Source organism: Homo sapiens, chromosome 10 (assembly GCF_000001405.40).
Source record: "Homo sapiens chromosome 10, GRCh38.p14 Primary Assembly".
Taxonomy (NCBI): domain Eukaryota; kingdom Metazoa; phylum Chordata; class Mammalia; order Primates; family Hominidae; genus Homo; species Homo sapiens.
In genome coordinates this window covers 26,906,388-26,926,054 of record NC_000010.11, presented here as the reverse complement: position 1 = coordinate 26,926,054, position 19,667 = coordinate 26,906,388, and the positions used below count along the sequence as shown (strand labels likewise).

Below are 19,667 nucleotides of genomic sequence, written 5' to 3'. Positions count from 1 at the left end.
TGTTTAGCTGTGTAAGAAACTGCCAAACTGTCTTCTAAAGTGGCTGTTTCATTTTGCTTTCCCTCCAAGAATAAATGAGAATTCTTATTGCTCCCCATCCTTGTCATTGTTTGGTATTGTCAGTGTCTTCTATTTAAGCATTTGAATAGGTAGGTAGTGGTATCAGTTTTAATTTGCTATTTCCTAATGACATATGACATTGAGCAATTTTTTCATATGCTTATTAGCCAACTGTAGATCTTCTTTGGTGAGGTGTGTGTTCAGATCTTTTGTGAACTTTTTAATTGGGCTGTTCCTTATTGTTGTTTTAAGAGTTCTTCATGTATTTTGATAACAGTACTTTATCAGATACATCTTTCACAAGTGTTTTTTTCCTGGTCTGTGGCTTGTCTTCTAATTCTCTTGACTGTGCGTTTCACAGAAGTTTTTAATTTGAATGAGGTCCAGCTTATCAATTATTTGTTCCATGGATCATGCCATTGGTGGTGTTGTATTTAAAAAGTCATTGCCATGCCCAAGGTTATCTAGGTTTTCTCCTATATTCTAGAAGTTTTATAATTTTGTGCATTATACTTAGGTCTATGATCCATTTTGACTTAAATTTTGGGGAAGATGTAAGATCTGTGTCTAGATTTTTGATTTTGCATATGGATATTAAGTTGTTCCAGTGCCATCTGTTGAAAAGACTATCTTTTCCTCATTGTATTGCCTTTGCCCCTTTGTCAAGTATTTGTATAGGTCTATTTTGGGACTTTCTATTCTGTTCCATTGATCTATTCATCTATTCTTTTGCCACTACCACACTGTCTTGATTGCTGTAGCTTTGTTGTAAATTTTGAAATTGGGTGGTATTAGTCCTCTGTTTTTCTTCTTTTCTAATATTGTGCTGCCATTTTTTTTTGCCTCTCCATATAAACTTTGGAATCAATTTGTCAATATCCAAGTGATATATTTCTGGGATTTTGATGGAGATTGCATTGAATCTAGAGAGCAAGTTGGGAAGAACTGACATTTTGTTAATGCTAGGCCTCCCTATCTGAGAACATGGAATATCTCTCTATTCATTTAGTCCTTCTTTGATTTCCTTAATCAAAATTATGCAGTTTTCCTCATAGATCTTTTATATATTTTGTTAGATTTATACCTAAATATTCCATTGGTGGTGGTGGGAATGTTAACATAAATGGCATTGTGTTTTTAATTTCAAATTCCAATTGCTCATTGTTGGTGTGCAGGAGAGCATCTGCAATGAATTTTTCTATACTAATCCTGTATGCTGCAACCTTGCTATCAATAGCAAGCTATTGATCAACTAGTAAGCAATAATAAATGCTTATTAGTTCCAGGAGTTTTTTGGTCAATTGTCCTGGTGGCCTCTGGAAGAGTCCTCCTCTAGACCCAGGGTTAAGAGTGTGCATTATTTTCCTTTCCATACATATGACTATCAAAGGCAAGGTAGGGGAGAGTGCAAGGCAGCAGCTCCCTGCAGTCTTCTCCACTCCACATCCTTTCATATTGTTAAAGTAGGTGAGGGGAATTAATACTTGTGGAGCAGGTTCTCAGATATTCGCTATGAAAACCTACAAACGGTGATTTAGACTTTCATAGCTATTATATCTTGGGAGTCTTTGATGAAACTTTAATTTTAACCTATTTTTCAATCAGTATAGTTTCTATTAGAAAAGTTCATAGGAGAAAAAACAACTATTTCAATAAACATCAAAAAAGCTCTTGATAAAATTCAACACCACTCCTTGTTAAAAAAAATTTAAAACTTCATAAGAAGCTAGCAATTTAGGAAGATGTTTCTATATTGATAAAAGTTATTAGAGACCTACAGCAGAAGGCATATTTAATTATAAAGCATGAATTGAAATGTCATTTATTTTTATGGCACCAAGGATTTGTTTTAATCAGTATGGTAGGACACATGAACACAGAAATAAGTGTCATGAGGGAAGCAGTTTATTTTGCTACTCAGGGTTCCCTACCAGCTGTAGGCACCTCACACCACAAGAGGCAAAACAGGGAAACATCACGGTCAGTCAGGAGACAGAGGGGACGGGGGAAAGCACGAGGAAGAATCTTTACTGCACTTTCCACAGGAAGGAACAAGCAAGGCAGGGCAACCAGTCTTAGGATTGGCTAGTTTGAATAATTTCATGCTGTCTTGGGGAGGAGAGGCTGTCCCTAGTTGTCTGCTACCTGGCCCTGAGGCAATTAGGGCAGGCAGATAGTGGCCTGGGACATGAAAGTGATAAAGAAGGATAAAGATAGATAAGAAGAATAGAGGGTGATAAAGAAAGGATAAAGAAGGGGGTATGAGCTCTGGATTGGTTGGTTTATATATGAAGACATACATGCAGGCAAGTTGTTTATGTCCAGGAATTAGCTTATCCTGAGAGGGACAGTCCCTCCAGGGGCAACAAAGCCCTGGATGTCAAAGCATCAAATTCAGAAAGTAAGAGACATGACTAATACACCATTAAAGTCAATATTATCATTAATATTATTCGACATTATCCTGAAGTCTCTAGCCAATGCATACAACAAAAAAAACAATAGGATGAAAAACGATTTGAATGAAAAAGACTTTTAAATTCTCAGATGATGTATCTACTTAAAATTTAAAAACAAAGTCAACCTATTAATTATAGAAACCAAAAACTGTCCTATATACTATATACCAGTGATGCTCAATTATAAAATGTAGTATAAAAAGTGATTCACAATAGCAACAAGAACTACATGTCTAGAATTGATAGACAATTTCAAAGTCTATATAAGGAAAGATGTAAATGTTTATTGCAGATAAAAAAGAAAACATCAGGAAGGTAAGAGTTATAGGCCATCACCACTCTACCTAGTTCCAATAACCACGATTGAATTAAACGACATGAGTTCCCCAACATGGTTCTAATTTCAGTTATCATGGTATTTTACCTGTAATTACATAAAGTACACTTCTTGTTAGTTCTTCAGTCCACAAACCACAGCCTAAATAACAGATGAATCATGATCAGTGACCCATCACTTCTTTCAAAGTATGTTGTTGCCAATCACTGCATATTTGTTACTGAGTTTATACAGAGAGCAAAGCATAACCTTGTCCTGCCTGCTTGTCTCCCAGTGAGAAGCCCGTGTGATATTTTACAAAAAGGAATAATCAAAAGTGGAAATTAATCAACAGGGCTAAAACTGCAACAGAAAAAAAGTGATAACACAAAGTGAAATTCAAATAGAACATAAATGTAGTTATATTTTTAGTAGAGACGGGGTTTCACCATGTTAGCCAGGATGGTCTCGATCTCCTGACCTCGTGATCCGCCCGCCTCAGCCTCCCAAAGTGCTGGGATTACAGGCGTGAGCCACCGCTACCGGCCTAAATCAAATTATAAAAATATAAACCACTTGGAAACCAGTACATTCTAGATCTCTATATCAGATTCGTTATCTGATTCTGTACATTTTTATCCAGTTTGAAATTTTCTGTTTGTATGTCTTTTGGCAATAAAATTTTAAGCAGTGGTTAATGAAGATTATGTCCAAACAAAAGTTCAACCAAAGTTTCATATAATATGTTAATCACTGATGCACTAGATCATAGGCTTTATTAATTTTTTTAAAAAATTTTTTGAGACAGAGTCTCACTCCATCTGTCAGACTGAAGTGCAGTGGCATGACCTTGGCTCACTGCAACCTCCACCTCCCAGGTTCAAGTGATTCTCGTGCCTCAGTCTCCCTAGTAGCTGGGATTACAGGTGTGTGCCACCATGCTCAGCTAAATTTTTTTGTATTTTTAGTAGAGATGGAATTTTGGCATGTTGGCCAGGCTGGTTCCAAACTCCTGGCCTCATGTGATCTGCCTGCCTCCGCCTCCCAAAGGGCTGAAACTACAGGTATGAGCCACCTTGCCCAGCTGATCATAGGCTTTTTTTTTTTTTTTTGAGACAGAGTCTCGCTCTGTTGCCCAGTCTGGAGTGCAGTGGCGCTATCTTGGTTCACTGCAATTTCTGCCTTCTTGGTTCTCTTGATTCTCTTGCCTCAGCCTCCCAAGTAGCTGGGAGTACAGGTGCGCATCACCATGCCCAGCTAATTTTTGCATTTTCAGTAGACACAAGGTTTCGCCATGTTGGTCAGGCTGGTCTCGAACTCCTGACCTAAGGTGATCCACCCGCCTTGGCATCCCAAAGTGCTGGGATTACAGGCATGAGCCACCATGCCCTTCCTGATCATAGGCTTTTTAATGGCGGGAATGAAATTCATCTTTGTGGCCTTAGTTTTAACCATTTGACTATAGAAAAATACACATAATAGGGACTTGTTATGTTTTTGCTAAATAACTTAATTTAGCTAGTACTGGGAAAAGAATTATGGCCAACCTAATTTTATTGCAGATACAGATATTTCAGGGTTTACAAAAATCTCCTTTGCAATATAAACCCAATCACACAATGCTAGCGCTATCTAGGGTAACATACTTAAATACATGGAAAGATTTCATTTTGGGACATCAGTTGTTTTCTTTTAGTAGCCTGATGATCTTATTCTTTCCAAAGAAACTATAGAAATGGAGGGTGGGTGCGGTGGCTCACACCTGTAATCCCAGCACTTTGGGAAGCTGAGGCAGATGGATCACGAGGTCAGGAGTTCAAGACTAGCCTGGCTAACATGGTGAAAGCCCATCTCTACTAAAAACACAAAAAATCGCTGGGCATGGTGGCAGGCACCTGTAATCCCAGCTACTTGGGAGACTGAGGCAGGAGAATCGTTTGAACCCGCGAGGCATAGATTGCAGTGAGCCAGGATCGCGCCATTGCACTCCAACCTGGGCAACAGGGCGATACTCCAACTCAAAAAAAAGAAAAGAAACAAGAGAAGGAAATGATAGAAATGACTACTTCCCTATCAATCTTTATAGTTACAGGGCTAAACACCATTAAAAAATCATCTTCTTGAAATATAAAATCAACAATGCCTGTCCCGAGAATCATAGTAAAGAAAATGAATTTTTTTTTTTTTTTTTTTTTGAGATGGAGTTTCACTCTTGTCTCCCAGACTGGAGTGCAATGGCGCGATCTCGGCTCACTGCAACCTCCGCCTCCCGGGTTCAAGCAATTCTCCTGCCTTAGCCTCCTGAGTAGCTGGGATTACAGGTGCCCGCCACCAAGCCCAGCTAATTTTTGTATTTTTAGTAGATACGCGGTTTCACCATGTTGGCCAGGCTGGTCTCAAACTCCTGACCTCAGGTGATCCGCCCGCCTCAGCCTCCCAAACTGCTGGGATTACAGGCGTGAGCCACGGCGCCTGACCATGATGCATTTCTTAAACATAGTTTTAACGATTCTGGGATGGGCACTGCTTAGCATGAAAAAGAAATGACCAATGCCTGCTGGTGGTTTATGATCTTCCTTAGAGTTATTTGGAGGTGTAAGAATAACAAATATTGAGCATTTAAAAAATATTTCTAAGACCTGTAAAACACTCATCTTTGACGTTCCCATTGCTTGCAACTAGATCATTTCTAAAAACTTTTAATAGAAAATCTTCCCCAATCTACTATTGAGTTTTTAAAACATGTTTTGAGGCCGGTGGCGGTGGCTCACGCCTGTAATCCCGGCACTTTGGGAGGTCAAGACAGGTGGATCACAAGGTCAGGAGATGGAGACCATCCTGGCTAACATGGTGAAACCCAGTCTCACTAAAAATACAAAAAATTAGCCGGACGTGGTAGCTGGCGCCTGTAGTCCCAGCTACTTGGAAGGCTGAGGCAGGAGAATGGCGTGAACCCGGGAGGCGGAGCTTGCTGTGAGCTGTGATGGCGCCACTGCACTGCAGCCTGGGCGACAATGCGAGACTCCATCTCAAAACAAACAAACAAAAAAAAAACATGTTTTGAAACTATGTAAAACATATATATAAGTTTTATGTAAATAAATATAAATGTTATATATGTATATATGTCATATATATATATAATTTTTTTTTTAGTATTCTGGTTTCTAAAAAACATTATTTTCATCCCAGTGTTTGCAACATGAAAAGGATATTTAATGCACTCCATAATAATACAATAGCTGGTATTTACTGAGTATTATCATGTGCCAACTACTATCTTTTTTTATTTATTTTTTTGAGATGGAGTCTCACTCCGTCACCCAGGCTGGAGTGCAGTGGCACGATCTCGGGTCACTGCAACCTCCACCTCCCGGGTTCAAGCGATTCTCCTGTCTCAACCTCCTGAGTAGGTGGGATAACAGGCGCGTGCCACCACGCCCGGCTAATTTTTCTGTTTTTAGTAGAGACAGGGTTTCACCATGTTGGTCAGGCTTGTCTCCAACTCCTGACCTGGTGAGTCACCCACCTTGGCCTCCCAAAGTGCTGGAATTACAGGCGCGAGCCAGCCAACCACTATCTTATTGAGTTTGTGCAACAACCCATTATACATATGCACTGTATAGTATAAATGAGGACACAAAAGTTAGGACAGGTTAAGTGGATAAAAATGTTTTAAAATTGGACTTCCGTGATTGCACAATTTCTTAAGTTTAGTAAAAAAAATTCTATACTTGAATGAATTTTATGGTATGTAAATTATATGTCGATAAAGCTGTTAAAAATTACACACCAGAGAGAAAGAAAGAAGTGGGGCATCAAGTGACAGGCTTACTGTCATCTAGGAAATGTTCGGTCAACCAGAACTCAAGCATAGCTGGTCTAACTCTGGACCCACGCACAGCTGTTGCTCCAGAGAAAGGAGCTACGCGGAAGTAAAAAGATTCCATGAGGGAAACGAGGATCAGACTTTACTCAGCTGTCTCCTGCTTAGATGTTTATTTCTTCCTGTCTGTATAATTCTTTAACTCCACATCCCGGCTATACATTGTTACATAAACATGTGCAACCAATATTTTATATATTTCCATTTACAGATCAATTAAATATATAAGAATATATGGAAGTATACCTTTAAAAAGTAAATAAACTGTCAATATAAACTCTTATTACACCATTGTTCTTTGCGGAAATTGATTTCTTCCCTTCTTTGAGCGCACACAGTTTAGCATTTATTACTTCTCTAAAATCACAGAAGCAAAGCTACAGCTGTGAACCCGCTTCATTTCTTTCATTTTGCCGTTTCATCCAATCTATCCTAACCAAGTAAATCCAAATACTAAGGACTGCCACCACATGGCATTTAAAAATATTTTAGACTTCTTCCTCTCAACTGCTGGGACTATTCACATTCTGAGCGGGCCTGGAAGTTCTGTATAATTGCCCAAACGGGCATAAATGGCTGGCAAGGAAATGAACCCCAAAGAGCTCACCTACTTCACTGTAAGAACTAAACTTGCTTTTATGTCTACAATAGTGTCCTGAGTTCAAGAAGCAATTTCATTCCCTAACCTAACATGGAATGCTAGTGTCATCCTTTCATGGACAGGAATCAGCCACCCTGATGACACATACATGCTCTCTATACAAGTCCTAAGGCAGAAGTACTCAAAGCCTCAGATCCTTCTGCCTTAACTTCTTTGATCTTGCTAGAACCTGCACTGCAAAAAGAATTACGTTCCTTTTTCTGTTGTTTTTTGTTTGTTTGTTTCTTTGTTTGGAGACAGGGTCTCACTCTGTCGCCCACACTGGAGTGCACTGGCACAATCATGGCTCATTGCAGCCTCGACCTCCCAGGCCCAAGTGATCTTCCCACCTCAGCCTCCCGAGTAGCTGGGAATACAGGCATATGACATCACTCCCAACTAATTTTTAAATTTTTTGTAGAGAGGGGCATCCCCCTATGTTGCCCAGGCTAGTCTTGAACCCCTGGGCTCAAGTGATCCTCCTGCCTCAGGCTCCAAATTGCTGGGATTATAGGCATGAGCCACCACGCCCAGCCCTGTTTTTTCCCTTCTCCAAGCCAAGTGTGAAGTCAACACAGTAAACTGAAAATCAAGGCCAAGTATGGTGGCTCACACTTGTAATCCCAATACTTTGGAGTTTGAAGTAAAAGAATGGCTGGAGCTTAGGAATTCGAGACCAGCCTGGGCAACATAGTGAGACCTCATCTCTACTAAAAGTACAAAAACATTAGCCAGGCATAGTGGCACATGCCTGTAGTCCCAGCTACTCGAGAGGCTGAGATGGGAGGATCACTTGAGCCTGGGAAGTTGAGGCTGTAGTGAGCGGTGATTGCACCACTGCACTCCAACCTGGAAGACAGAGTGAAACTCTGTCTCAAAAAAAAAAAAAAAAGGAAAAGAAAATCAATATATAGATGTGATTGATTTCTACAGCTCTAATTTACTGCATGAGTATTATGGCCCAGGCTATAACAAGATGCTTTGTACATACATTGCTCACATTATAGGATCCTTGTAAGACCGGGCGCAGTGGCTCATGCCTGTAATCCCAGCACTTTGGGAGGCCGAGGCAGGCAGATCACGTGAGGTCAGGAGTTTGAGACCAGCCTGACCAACATGGAGAAACCTTGTCTCTACTAAAAATACAAGAAAAAAAAAAAATTAGCCAGGCATGGTTGCACATGCCTGTAATCCCAGCTACTCGGGAGGCTGAGGCAGGAAATCACTTCAACCTGGGAGGCAGAAGTTGCAGTGAGCCAAGATTGTGCCATTGCACTCCAGCCTGGGCAGCAAGAGTGAAACTCCATCTCAAAAAAAAAAAAAAAAGAACTTCCCCCATTTCTCCATTTTCTCCTTTGCCCTGACATTTTTTCTTCCATGTTCACACCAGTACCCAATGTCCCAGGCATATGGACTTCATTGTTTCATGAATAGAGTCAACACATTTTAACTGCCACACATTTACTCAAACCATCTGGCCACCTGGAATTTCCTACCATCCCCCATAAAATTTAAATTAAAAAATTTCCAGTGTTCTGTCCTCCGTGAAGATGTCCCTGAACCTTTATTGAAACTCATTGACGTATCCTGTGATTCCCACAGCCTTTATTGTATATGTCATAATTTAGCATTTGTGATTCCCACAGCCTTTATTGTATATGTCATAATTTAGCATTTACATTATCCTACCTTACATTTTAGTAAGTTAATGACCTGTCTCTCTCCACTGTTAAAATAGTGTCAGGATTTTTTCATTTTTGTATTCCCTACTGGTCCACAGAGTGCTATGAACATATCATTTGCTAAGTTAATTTTAAATTGACTTAAACTTACTGGTGAATTCACTGATCAACTGTTCTTTTCAAGTATTTCTTTTAGAAATGTCCTTGCTTTGATAAATTTTATGTTCTAAAAAAGTTAATTTGATTTTTAGAATCACATCTTTCAAAAGAAACAAAAACTCCCACACGATTCTAAGGCTGGTTATGGGTAACATTAAAAATGACACACTAGGCCTGGGGCAGTGGCTCACACCTGTAACCCTAGCACTTTGGGAGGCTGAGGCGGATGGATCACAAGGTCAGGAGTTCAAGACCAGCCTGGCCAAGATGGTGAAACCCCGTCTCTACTAAAAATACAAAAAAATTAGCCGGGCACGGTGGCGGGCGCCTGTAATTCCAGCTACTCAGGAGGCTGGGACGGAGAATTGCTTGAACCCGGGAGGCGGAGGTTGCAGTGAGCTGAGATGGCACCACTGCACTCCAGCCTGGGCGGCAAAGCGAGACTCCGTCTCCAAAAAAAAAAAAAAAATTAGGCCGGGCGCTGTGGCTCTCACGCCCGTAATCCCTGCACTTTGGGAGGCCAAGGTGGGCAGATCACAAGGTCAGGAGATCGAGACCATCTTGGCCAACATGATGAAACCCCATCTCTACTAAAATACAAAAAATTAGCCGGGCATGGTGGTGCATGCCTGTAATCCCAGCTACTTGGGAGGCTGAGGCAGGGGAATCGCTTGATCCCGGGAGGCAGAGGTTGCAGTTAGCTGAGATCGCGCCACTGTACTCCAGCCTGGTGACAGAGTGAGATTCTGTCTCAAAAAAAAAAAAAAAAAAAAAAAAAAATCCCATGAAAGCCAGAGGCACAAAAGATCTCAGATAATAGTATGACTAAAAGCACAGGAAATTATATACAATGCACAATTTTAATGTCAATATTGTCATTTTTTCCTAGGTTAGGAGACAATATAACCACAATTATAAACTTGTTCTTTTTTTTTTTTTTTTTTTTTGAGATGGAGTCTCGCCCTGTCACCCAGGCTGGAGTGCAGTGGTGCAATCTCGTCTCACTGCAACCTCCACCTCCTGGGTTCAATCAATTCTCCTGCCGCAGCCTCCCAAGTAGCTGGGACTACAGGCACCTGCCACCACGCCTGGCTAATTTTTTTTTTTTTTTTTTTTTTTTTTTGGATTTTTAGTAGAGACGGGGTTTCACCATGTTAGCCAGGATGGTTTCAACCTCCTGACCTCGTGATCCGCCCGCCTTGGCCTCCCAAAGTGCTGGGATTACAGTTGTGAGCCACCGCACCTCGCCAAACTTGTTCTTTTCGTCTCTACTCTTGTTGACCTTATACATAGCATATTATGCCATTAAAACAACAAAAGGAAGGAGAAAATGGTATATTGAAATCCAGCATTTTCTTCCAATTCCTTACTGTGAATTTTTAATTAAAATCAAATTATTTAATCACTAGGAAAGACTCTGAGTGTGCAGGTGTTCCTTTCAGCTGATATAAACATTGAGAAGATCAAAGCTTGCCCTAAATGATCTGTCTTACCAGGTCTTGACTGAATCTGAGAAAAAAATCCTGTAGTTTCTCTTTATTTTGGATAAACCTTTGATCTTTTAAAAATATTGGCACATCTGGCTAAGAAAATGGCAGAAAAGACAAAAAGACATGCACAAAATAGTTAACCACTACTTGCATTGTAAAATGGGTTTAAGCTTAAGGTTTTGGCAAGTGTTTGAGACAAATATGAATTAAGTTCATTTTCTGTGGAGACAAGTAAGTCTCTAGGCATTTAGTTTTGGTTAAAGTAAATACTTAAATCTATTTAAAATTTTAAAGACCTTAGTAATGTAAACAAATGGTGCTGAGTTTGGACTTCTCTACAAAATCTATGTGGAATCTTAGGAAAGGAAGAATGAAAGGATACAATAGAGACAATTATTTAAATGGTAGTTCAGCCTAAATCCTAAGCATAAGCATTCTTTTTTCTTTTCTTTTTTTTCTGAGACAGAGTCTCGCTCTGTGCCCCAGGCTGGAGTGCAGTAGCGCCATATTGACTCACTGCAACCCCTGCCTCCTGGGTTCAAGCTATTCTCCTGCCTCAGCCTCCCGAGTATCTGGGATCACAGGTTGGCACCAGCCAGGCCCGGCTCGTTTTTTGTATTTTTAATAGAAACGGGGTTTCACCATGTTGTCCAGGCTGGTCTCGAACTTCTGACCTCATGTGATCCACCCGCCTCTGCCTCCCAAAATGCTGGGATTACAGGCATGAGCCACCATGCCTGGCCAATATGTTGCTTTTTAAAAATGAGTTATTAGCATTAATTTTCTTCTGTTGCTACTGAACATTTCTCTTTTCACTTAATTTACTCCGAATCCCGTGCCACTTTTGCATTCAAGGCTAAAGTTTGGATTGAAGGAAAGGATAGCAAGTCAATTCACAATCTGATTTTTTCAATACAGAGAGTGTACATGTTTACTAAAAGGAGTAGCCCTTAATTCTTTTTAAAAAGCCCAAAAGCTGCTGGGCGTGGTGGTTCACGCCTGTAATCCCAGCAATTTGGAAGGTCGAGGCGGGTGGATCACGGGGTCAGGAGATCGAGACCATCCTGGCTAACACGGTGAAACCCTGTCTCTACTAAAAATACAAAAAAACTTAGCTGGCGTGGTGGCGGGTGCCTGTAGTCCCAGCTCTTCGGGAGGCTGAGGCAGGAGAATGGCGTGAACCCAGGAGGCGGAGCTTGCAGTGAACTGAGATCGCGCCACTGCACTCCAGCCTGGGCGACAGAGCGAGCCTCCATCTAAAAAGAAAAAAAAAAAAAAGCCGAAAAGCAAACAAGATAATTAACAATTTGTATATGAACAAATGTCTTACAATATTTTAAACATCTAGAGAACACTGATACCATCTTCAGTTATTGGCAATGGCATATTATGAATTAACTTTTACAAAGAGATAGACTTTTACAAAGAGCTGACTTTTTTTGTTTTGTTTTGTTTTTGAGGCGGAGTCTCGCTCTGTCACCCAGGCTGGAGTGCGATGGTGCCATCTCGGCTCACTGCAAGCTCCGCCTCCCGGGTTCACGCCATTCTCCTGCCTCAGCCTCCGAAGTAGCTGGGACTACAGGCGCCTGCCACCATGCCCGGCTAATTTTTTTTTGTATTTTTTTAGTAGAGACGGGGTTTCACCGTGTTAGCCAGGATGGTCTCGATTTCCTGACCTCTTGATCCGCCCGCCTCGGCCTCCCAAAATGCTGGGATTACAGGCGTGAGCCACCGCGTCTGGCCTTTTTTTTTTGAGATGGAGTCTCGCTCTGTCTCCAGGCTGGAGGGCAGTAGCGCGATCTCGGCTCACCGCAACTTCCAACTCCCTGGTTCAGGCAATTCTCCTCCTTCAGCCTCCTGAGTAGCTGGGATTACAGGCGTGCACCACCACGCCCAGCTAGTTTTTGTATTTTTAGGAGAGACGGGGTTTCACCATGTTGGCCAGGATGGTCTTGATCTTACTCCAGCTCCTGCTGGAGTAAGAGTGTCTATCTGCTTTTGTTTTAACAACATTATAGATCATTTAGGCTTGTCTTGAAAGTTTTATTTTTATGCCCTTTAACTAAGTCAAATTTATATTTCTGGAATGTTGTTCACTAATTCTAAAGCACTATCAATTTTCAAAAGTGTTTTTGACGTGTCCTCTTGTTTTAGAAAAGTGTCTAGGGGAAAGCTAAAAACAAAAAACAAAAAACATACTGGAATGGATATTTTTATTACTTATTACCATTAATCATTTCAAAGTCTGGTCTATGGTTTCAGTTGCTCCACTCCTTTTTCAAATGAGTAATACGTGAAGCATCCTAAGGGCCCTCATTTGCTTCCTATGTCAATTAAAAGAAAGCATTTTATTGTCCTAATTAATTGCGTGATAAAATTAATTTTAGAATATATTAAAATGCATCATAATTGTGTTTCTTCAGTAAATGTCTTATTAATAGGAAATGAACTTCAATACTGAGTAGATTGTGAACCTGTCAGTTGTTTGCCTGCCTTGAGTTTTGAAAAGTTGAATGTTTTTATTTCCTAGTAGTTCTTTTTAAAATAGCTAGACTTCTTTCCACAATTATTTTACTGGGAACATTATATTTTATTTTAGAAGCCATTGAGGGTGGAGGGAAACTTCTCCTCTAAAGGGATGTTTCTTAAAATGTGGTACCTTATATAAAGTGGAAATGAAGAAAGATGATGATTTAATGTACATGTGGGGGGTAAAGCATGAGAGAAAGAGGCTGGATCAGTTTCCTTTATATATCTTGCTTAAATGCTATTCAGTGATGGCCCTCTATTAACTGGATTATGGCCATAGACCTCTAAATTGCATTCCTACTGCCAGTCTTGTTCCGAACACGGCCCATCTACCTCACACACTGCTGCCAAGTTAAGTCTCTGTATTACAAAAACAATTATATCCCCCTGGTAGGTGGAAATCTGTTAGCTCCCAATGCTGATTGGACTAATTCCAGTTTTCCTAGTGAAACAAGTAAGGCCCTGGACAATGTATTCCTAACAGCCTCCCGCCTCATTGCCCTCTTCCAATCTGGCTTTCACCTTCATCACCCTACCCCAGGGTCACCAGTGACCTCCTTCTCATTTAATAGAATGAACACTTCTCCTTCCTCGAGCACTTTCTTCTGCTACTGACTTTATTGACACATTTTGTCTGATTTTTCTCCCACTCCCTTTAGATGTTTTTTCTCTGACTCCTGAAGGTTGAGCAAGAGTCCAGGATGAACTGACCCCAACTACAATTTATACAGAGGTGAGTGGGTGTTTTAAAGGGAGAATGAAGGAATTATGAGGGGAATGAGTGGGGCTCAGTGGAATTAGGGAAGTGAAAATTGTCAGTGAAAGTGAAATGTGACAGCCATCTGGGTTAACCAGCACTTATTGAAGTTAACTAGGCTCCTACTCTCCCACAGAGACTGGAAGACAGGGGCCCTATCTTCAGGTGTTGGCTAGAACAAACAATGGGTTATTTTTGCAGCCCTGAGTTTTCTTAGGCAGGCATTGTATCAAAGATTTATCCAACGCATGTGAACGTGAAAGACAGTTGAATGGAAATTTAGGAAGATTTATTTTATGTGTGTGCTTCTTTCTTTCTAAGCCAATTAGGACAGAAATTTAAAAAGTAATTTTATTACTATAAATTGATTGGTAATTCTATTCAGGCATTGTCACATAACATGATAACATATGGGAAGTAGTACTGTATCACATGGAATTATTATATATATAATATATGTGTATTATGTGTATATATATGTGTGTATTCTTGAACGGAAAGACAGATGCAAATAAAGATCTTATGGTTTTCATTTAAAAGATTATAGCATAGTTAAGGTTACCTACTGAATGTAAGGTTAGTGCGTTTTACCAGCATATTTGAAGGAGACTTTGAAGATTTTCTTTTGTCCTGATGTGTGATCTTATGGAGACAAGAGACTGAGGGGACATCAAGAAGCTGTTGGGATGTCTCCAGAGCTCACCTCAGTGGATAGAACATCCAGTTTGTTTCAAATCAGCCTTTTTCCTTTGAAGCCTCAGGTAGTTTTTTTGGGGGGATTCCTGAGTCCCTTGAGAGCCCCTGATAGGCCAGGGAAATTAAAGTTCCAGTGACTGGCAGGGTGTGAGGAGCTGGAGTAAGAAGTTACATTGCAAGTCGCTGTTCTAAGTGCTAATGGCATTAACCACTTAGTCCTCATATTCTTACAACCAAAATTTATTACTATCCCATTTTACAGATGAGGATAATGAGGTGAGATTTAACTGTAAATTACTAACATGAAAATACAGTCTTTAAAATTTCTAAAAATAATTTATTCTTTGAAATAGCAAACAACATTTTTACCTTTAAAACATATTTACAAATTTAATGTCATAAAAAGCATTCTAGTAAAACTCAGTAGACTATAATGTGAAAACATTGTGCTGTCTTCTTTATGGCCTAATAAGCTTAAAAAGGCCGGGCACAGTGGCTCACACCTGTAATACGAGCACTTTGGGAGGCCAAGGCAGGTGGAACATGAGGTCAGGAGATCGAGACCATTCTGGCTAACACGGTGAAACCCCATCTCTACTAAAAATACAAAAAAGTTAGCTGGGCATGGTGGCTGGCACCTGTAGTCCCAGCTACTCGGGAGGCTGAGGCAGGAGAATGGTGTGAACCCGGGAGGTGGAACTTGCAGTGAGCTGAGATCATGCCACTGCACTCCAGCCTGGGCGACAGAGCAAGACTCCATCTCAAAAAAAAAAAAAAAAAAAAAAAAAAGACTTAATACCTGCTCTTGAAGAGTACATTCCAACCTGGCTGTACTCAAACTTTTATTCAAAATGGATTTTAAGAAAGTGGATTTCTCCTTGTAGTAAATAAGCTTAATTTTGCTAGCCCAGATCAACTCTTGGACTATGTGAAAATGCAAGTGGCTAGTATTCGCATGGGTAGACTCAAGTTACCCTGAGTTGGCTGGCCTGAACCATGTCTATAACTCACACTTTCTCCTTGCCTGTCCTTTTGCACTGCAGCAGTATCTGAGTCGATCATCTTTCGGGGTACATGTTTCTGCCAGTTCGTTGGGCTTCTATAGAAGTCATTGTTCTGACAGCATCCCTTAACATACCCCACATGGAGACTCATGTTGGAACCACATAGGCTCAAAGAGCACTTCAAGAAAAAGAAAGTTCAGTCTGGAATGAGAATGGTGGTGGTGTGGGTAACCTAATTTCCTCTCTTCTGAGAAAAAAAAGAAAGAAATTCAACTTTATGGGTAGAATGTCTTTTCCCAAAGCAATTCCTAGATGTTAGACAAATTTTCGCAATAAAAAAGATGACTGAACACAGAAATACCATTTAGGACATAAAATGGAGGCCAAGGAAAATAATCCATTTAGTTTATTTTTAGAACCGTTATTAATTCCTAAGGGCCCAGTTAAGCAACATTTTTATAACAATACAATTTAAAGGCTATTGCACAATATTACATTTTGGACTGACAGGGTAGTAAGTGCTTGCTTTTACTGAATGTTTCATACAATAATTTTCTTAAACTTCAGTGTTATGCTATATATTAGTTTATTTTTTAGTGTCAAAACCCTTCATTAACAAAGAGTTTTTAATAGAGGTATAATGTTGAGAAATCAATATTAATATAATAAACAGATTCTGAAAAGGTAATATTCACCGTGTAAATTTGCTGTTTATTAAAAAATTCACTTACATGAAGTCAATTCAATTTGGAAAATGTATCCATTGACTGCTCTCTACTAGGAATAAGCTAAATATTGTAATAAATTTAAAAAAAAAACCAATGCCTGCCCTCAAGGATACCACGACTGTCTCTGAAATCACAGAACCGGGGATGGAGGGGTAGTCACTGGGAACAGCGTTCTATGCTTACAGCGTTAAGTAAATGCGGGACGTGAAGCAGATGATACGGGCTTTGATTTTCTCATCTGTGAAACAAGAAAATTAAATTTAATTTAGAAACGGTGAAGGTATTTTCTCAAAAGTGTGTATATTTTTGCTTCCCTTTCTATAATTCGCATTCTATTCTACCCTAAATTTTATTAATAAGCAAGAATTCTAATCAGACATTAGTAATCCCCTGATATAAATGTATGTGCACAGCTGGTACCACACTATCACAACATGATGACTTTAGACGGTGCCAAAAGTGCCATTTACATGGAGGCCATGTATGCTCAAAAGGTTTTCAAAAATTACATTTATTGATGTGTTCACATTACTGTGCTGTTTTGGAAAATAGCCAAGAACCCATCTGCTGAACGTTTTAGACCTTTGGTGTGGAGGTATCTTACTTGTATTCCAACTTAACCACATACCAAGACCTAACAAATCGTTTATTAGAACAACACTAAGACATCCAAACCAATAAATTAACAGGTGGTGCCTAAAAATTATGAGATTTTTGTTTCATTTTATCAGTTAGTTCAAGTAATTTTAGTTTTCCAGATATGCTAGGTATTGAATCACCTCAGAGAAGAGTTTGAACAAAACAGATATTGTAAAACTTGGTTTTTATTGCTAAACATTGGAAGTCTGAAGATTGGAAATTTGACCTAATATTAGCCTCAGATGGAAACAAATTCAAAGCAGAGCCTGGAGATGGGCGGCGTCCAGGATGTCATCACCTGCACTTCTAAGGGCTGCTGTGAAATGAGGAAAATCACCTCCTGATCTCAGCACCAGGCCTGAGCATGCAAAGTCCCAGGGATGCCTAGGTTCTGTATTTACCATTTCAACAAATTTCCTCCTATCACTGATTCTGAAAACACTTTCAAAAAACACACAAATATGTGCTTTCATATATTAACAGACGATAAAAGAAAAGAGGGTGGTTAAGAGCTACATGGAACCATGCTTGAAGCCCATTTCCACTTACTTGCTCTCTGACACATACTTGATCTTTCTGAGATTTCATTTCCAAATTGATAAAATAGAGCTTTGTGTAGTGGCAGCTTCTGACATGAAGCAAGGCTCTCAGAAAGTGTTGCCTCCCCCTTTCCTTCCTATGCCGCCTCTTGCTTCTACATTGAAAAGCAGTCTGGTGCCCTCTTCTAATGAGACTGAAGCAAAAGGAATAATGGATTAGCACCTCCAACTAGAGACTAATCAGAAGGTCCATACTGAAAGAAGTCCTGACCACAAAAGTGGACTACCATGAAAGCCTTCAAAGTTGTATACATGAGGAACCATGTCTTGGACAAGAGCACACATCAGTATACCTGTATTAAATATGTGGTGTAGAGGATAGACCCTTCCTATTTCAATGAAATTAGAGATCATTTGATAGATCACAAAATTTTAGGTGGTTTTTTTTTTTCATTTTTTGTTTTTTTTTTTAGATGAAGTCTTGCTCTGTCGCCCAGACTGGAGTGCAATGGCACGATCTGAGCTCACTGCAACCACTGCCTCCCGGGTTCAAACGATTCTCCTGCGTCAGCCTCCTGAGTAGCTGGGATTACAGGCACATGCCATCACACCCAGCTAATTTTTGTATTTTTAGTAGAGTCAGAGTTTCACCATATTGGTCTGGCTGGTTACAAACTCCTGACCTCGTGATCCACCCACCTCAGCCTCCCAAAGTGCTGGGATTACAGGCATGAGCCACTGCGCCCAGTCATTTTAGTGGTTTTGTTTTGTTTTTTTAATTTACTTGTATAAACTTGCCAGGTATGGCTTTGATTGGTTTCAGGGCCTGGTGAGGGTGTCAGGGGTATGGGGAGAAGATTCAAAAAAGGGAAGATCTTGACTCTGTGTAGCTCCTTCACAGTGAAAAGCAGCAATTTTCAGCAAATTGTTTAATTTATGAGGATCAAAATATGTTTTAGAAAATGAAAATGAGGAATAGCAATTTTGGATTCCAAGGTTTATGGTGTATTTTTAAGGTGGTTACCAATCAAGCTAATGTGACCGGTTGCAAATGGTGACGTGGTTAGAATTAATAAATTGGTGCCCTAGAGTAGGGTTTAAGAGTGAGTGGTCCCTGCTGCAGACTGGTTAATTTTAGATCCCAGTGATCCTTACAGAGGAAAGGAGCTCAGATATCTATTATAAATAGCATCAGAAATTCTATTTCTAGATTGTTAACTAAATGAGTTTCTCTTTAACAAGAGAATACTTGTATTCAATTGGTACTGAGTATCCAAGACAAGTTGATACGTATTAAATTACAATGATGGCTGGGGGCGATGGCTCATGCCTGTAATCCCAGCGTGCCCAAAATTGGTGGGTTCATGGTCTCACCGACTTCAGGAATGAAGCTGCAGACCCTCATGGTGAGTGTTACAGCTCTTAAGGTGGCGCATCTGTAGTTGTTCATTTCTCCCGGTGGGTTCGTGGTCTCGCTGGCCTCAGGAGTGAAGCTGCAGAACTTCACAGTCAGTGTTACAGCTCATTAAAGCAGTGTGGACCCAAGGAGTGAGCAGCAGCAAGATTTATTGAAAATAGCAAAAGAAAAAAGCCTCTGCAGCATGGAAGGGGAACCTAGAGAGTTGCCACTACGGGATCCAGCAGCCTGCTTTTATTCCCTTACCACGCCACACCCACATCCTGCTGATTGGTCCATTTTACAGAGAGCTGATTGGTCCATTTTACAGAGAGCTGACTGGTCTGTTTTGACACGGCACTGATTGGTGCGTTTACAATCCCTGAGCTAGACACAGAGTGCTGATTAGTGCTGATTGGTGTATTTACAATCCTCTAGCTAGACCTAAAAGTTCTTCAAGTCTCCACTAGATTAGCTAGACACAGAGGATTGATTGGTGCATTTACAAACCTTGAACTAGACACAGGGTGCTGATTGGTGCGTTTACAAACCTTGAGCTAGACACAGAGTACTGATTGGTGCATTTACAATCCTTTAGCTAGACATAAAAGTTCTCCAAGTCCCCACCAGATTAGCTAGATACAGAGTGCTGATTGGCATTTACAAATCTGGAGCTAGACACAGGGT

The 19,667-nt window shown here is 40.2% G+C and overlaps 1 annotated feature.

Moving 5' to 3' along the window:
* Positions 13,754-13,803: an enhancer, noted in NCBI's record as "active region_3177". NCBI's record gives its function as "activates an Ori minimal core promoter by ATAC-STARR-seq in GM12878 lymphoblastoid cells {active_cell/tissue: GM12878}" and the evidence as "EXISTENCE:reporter gene assay evidence [ECO:0000049][PMID:35858748]".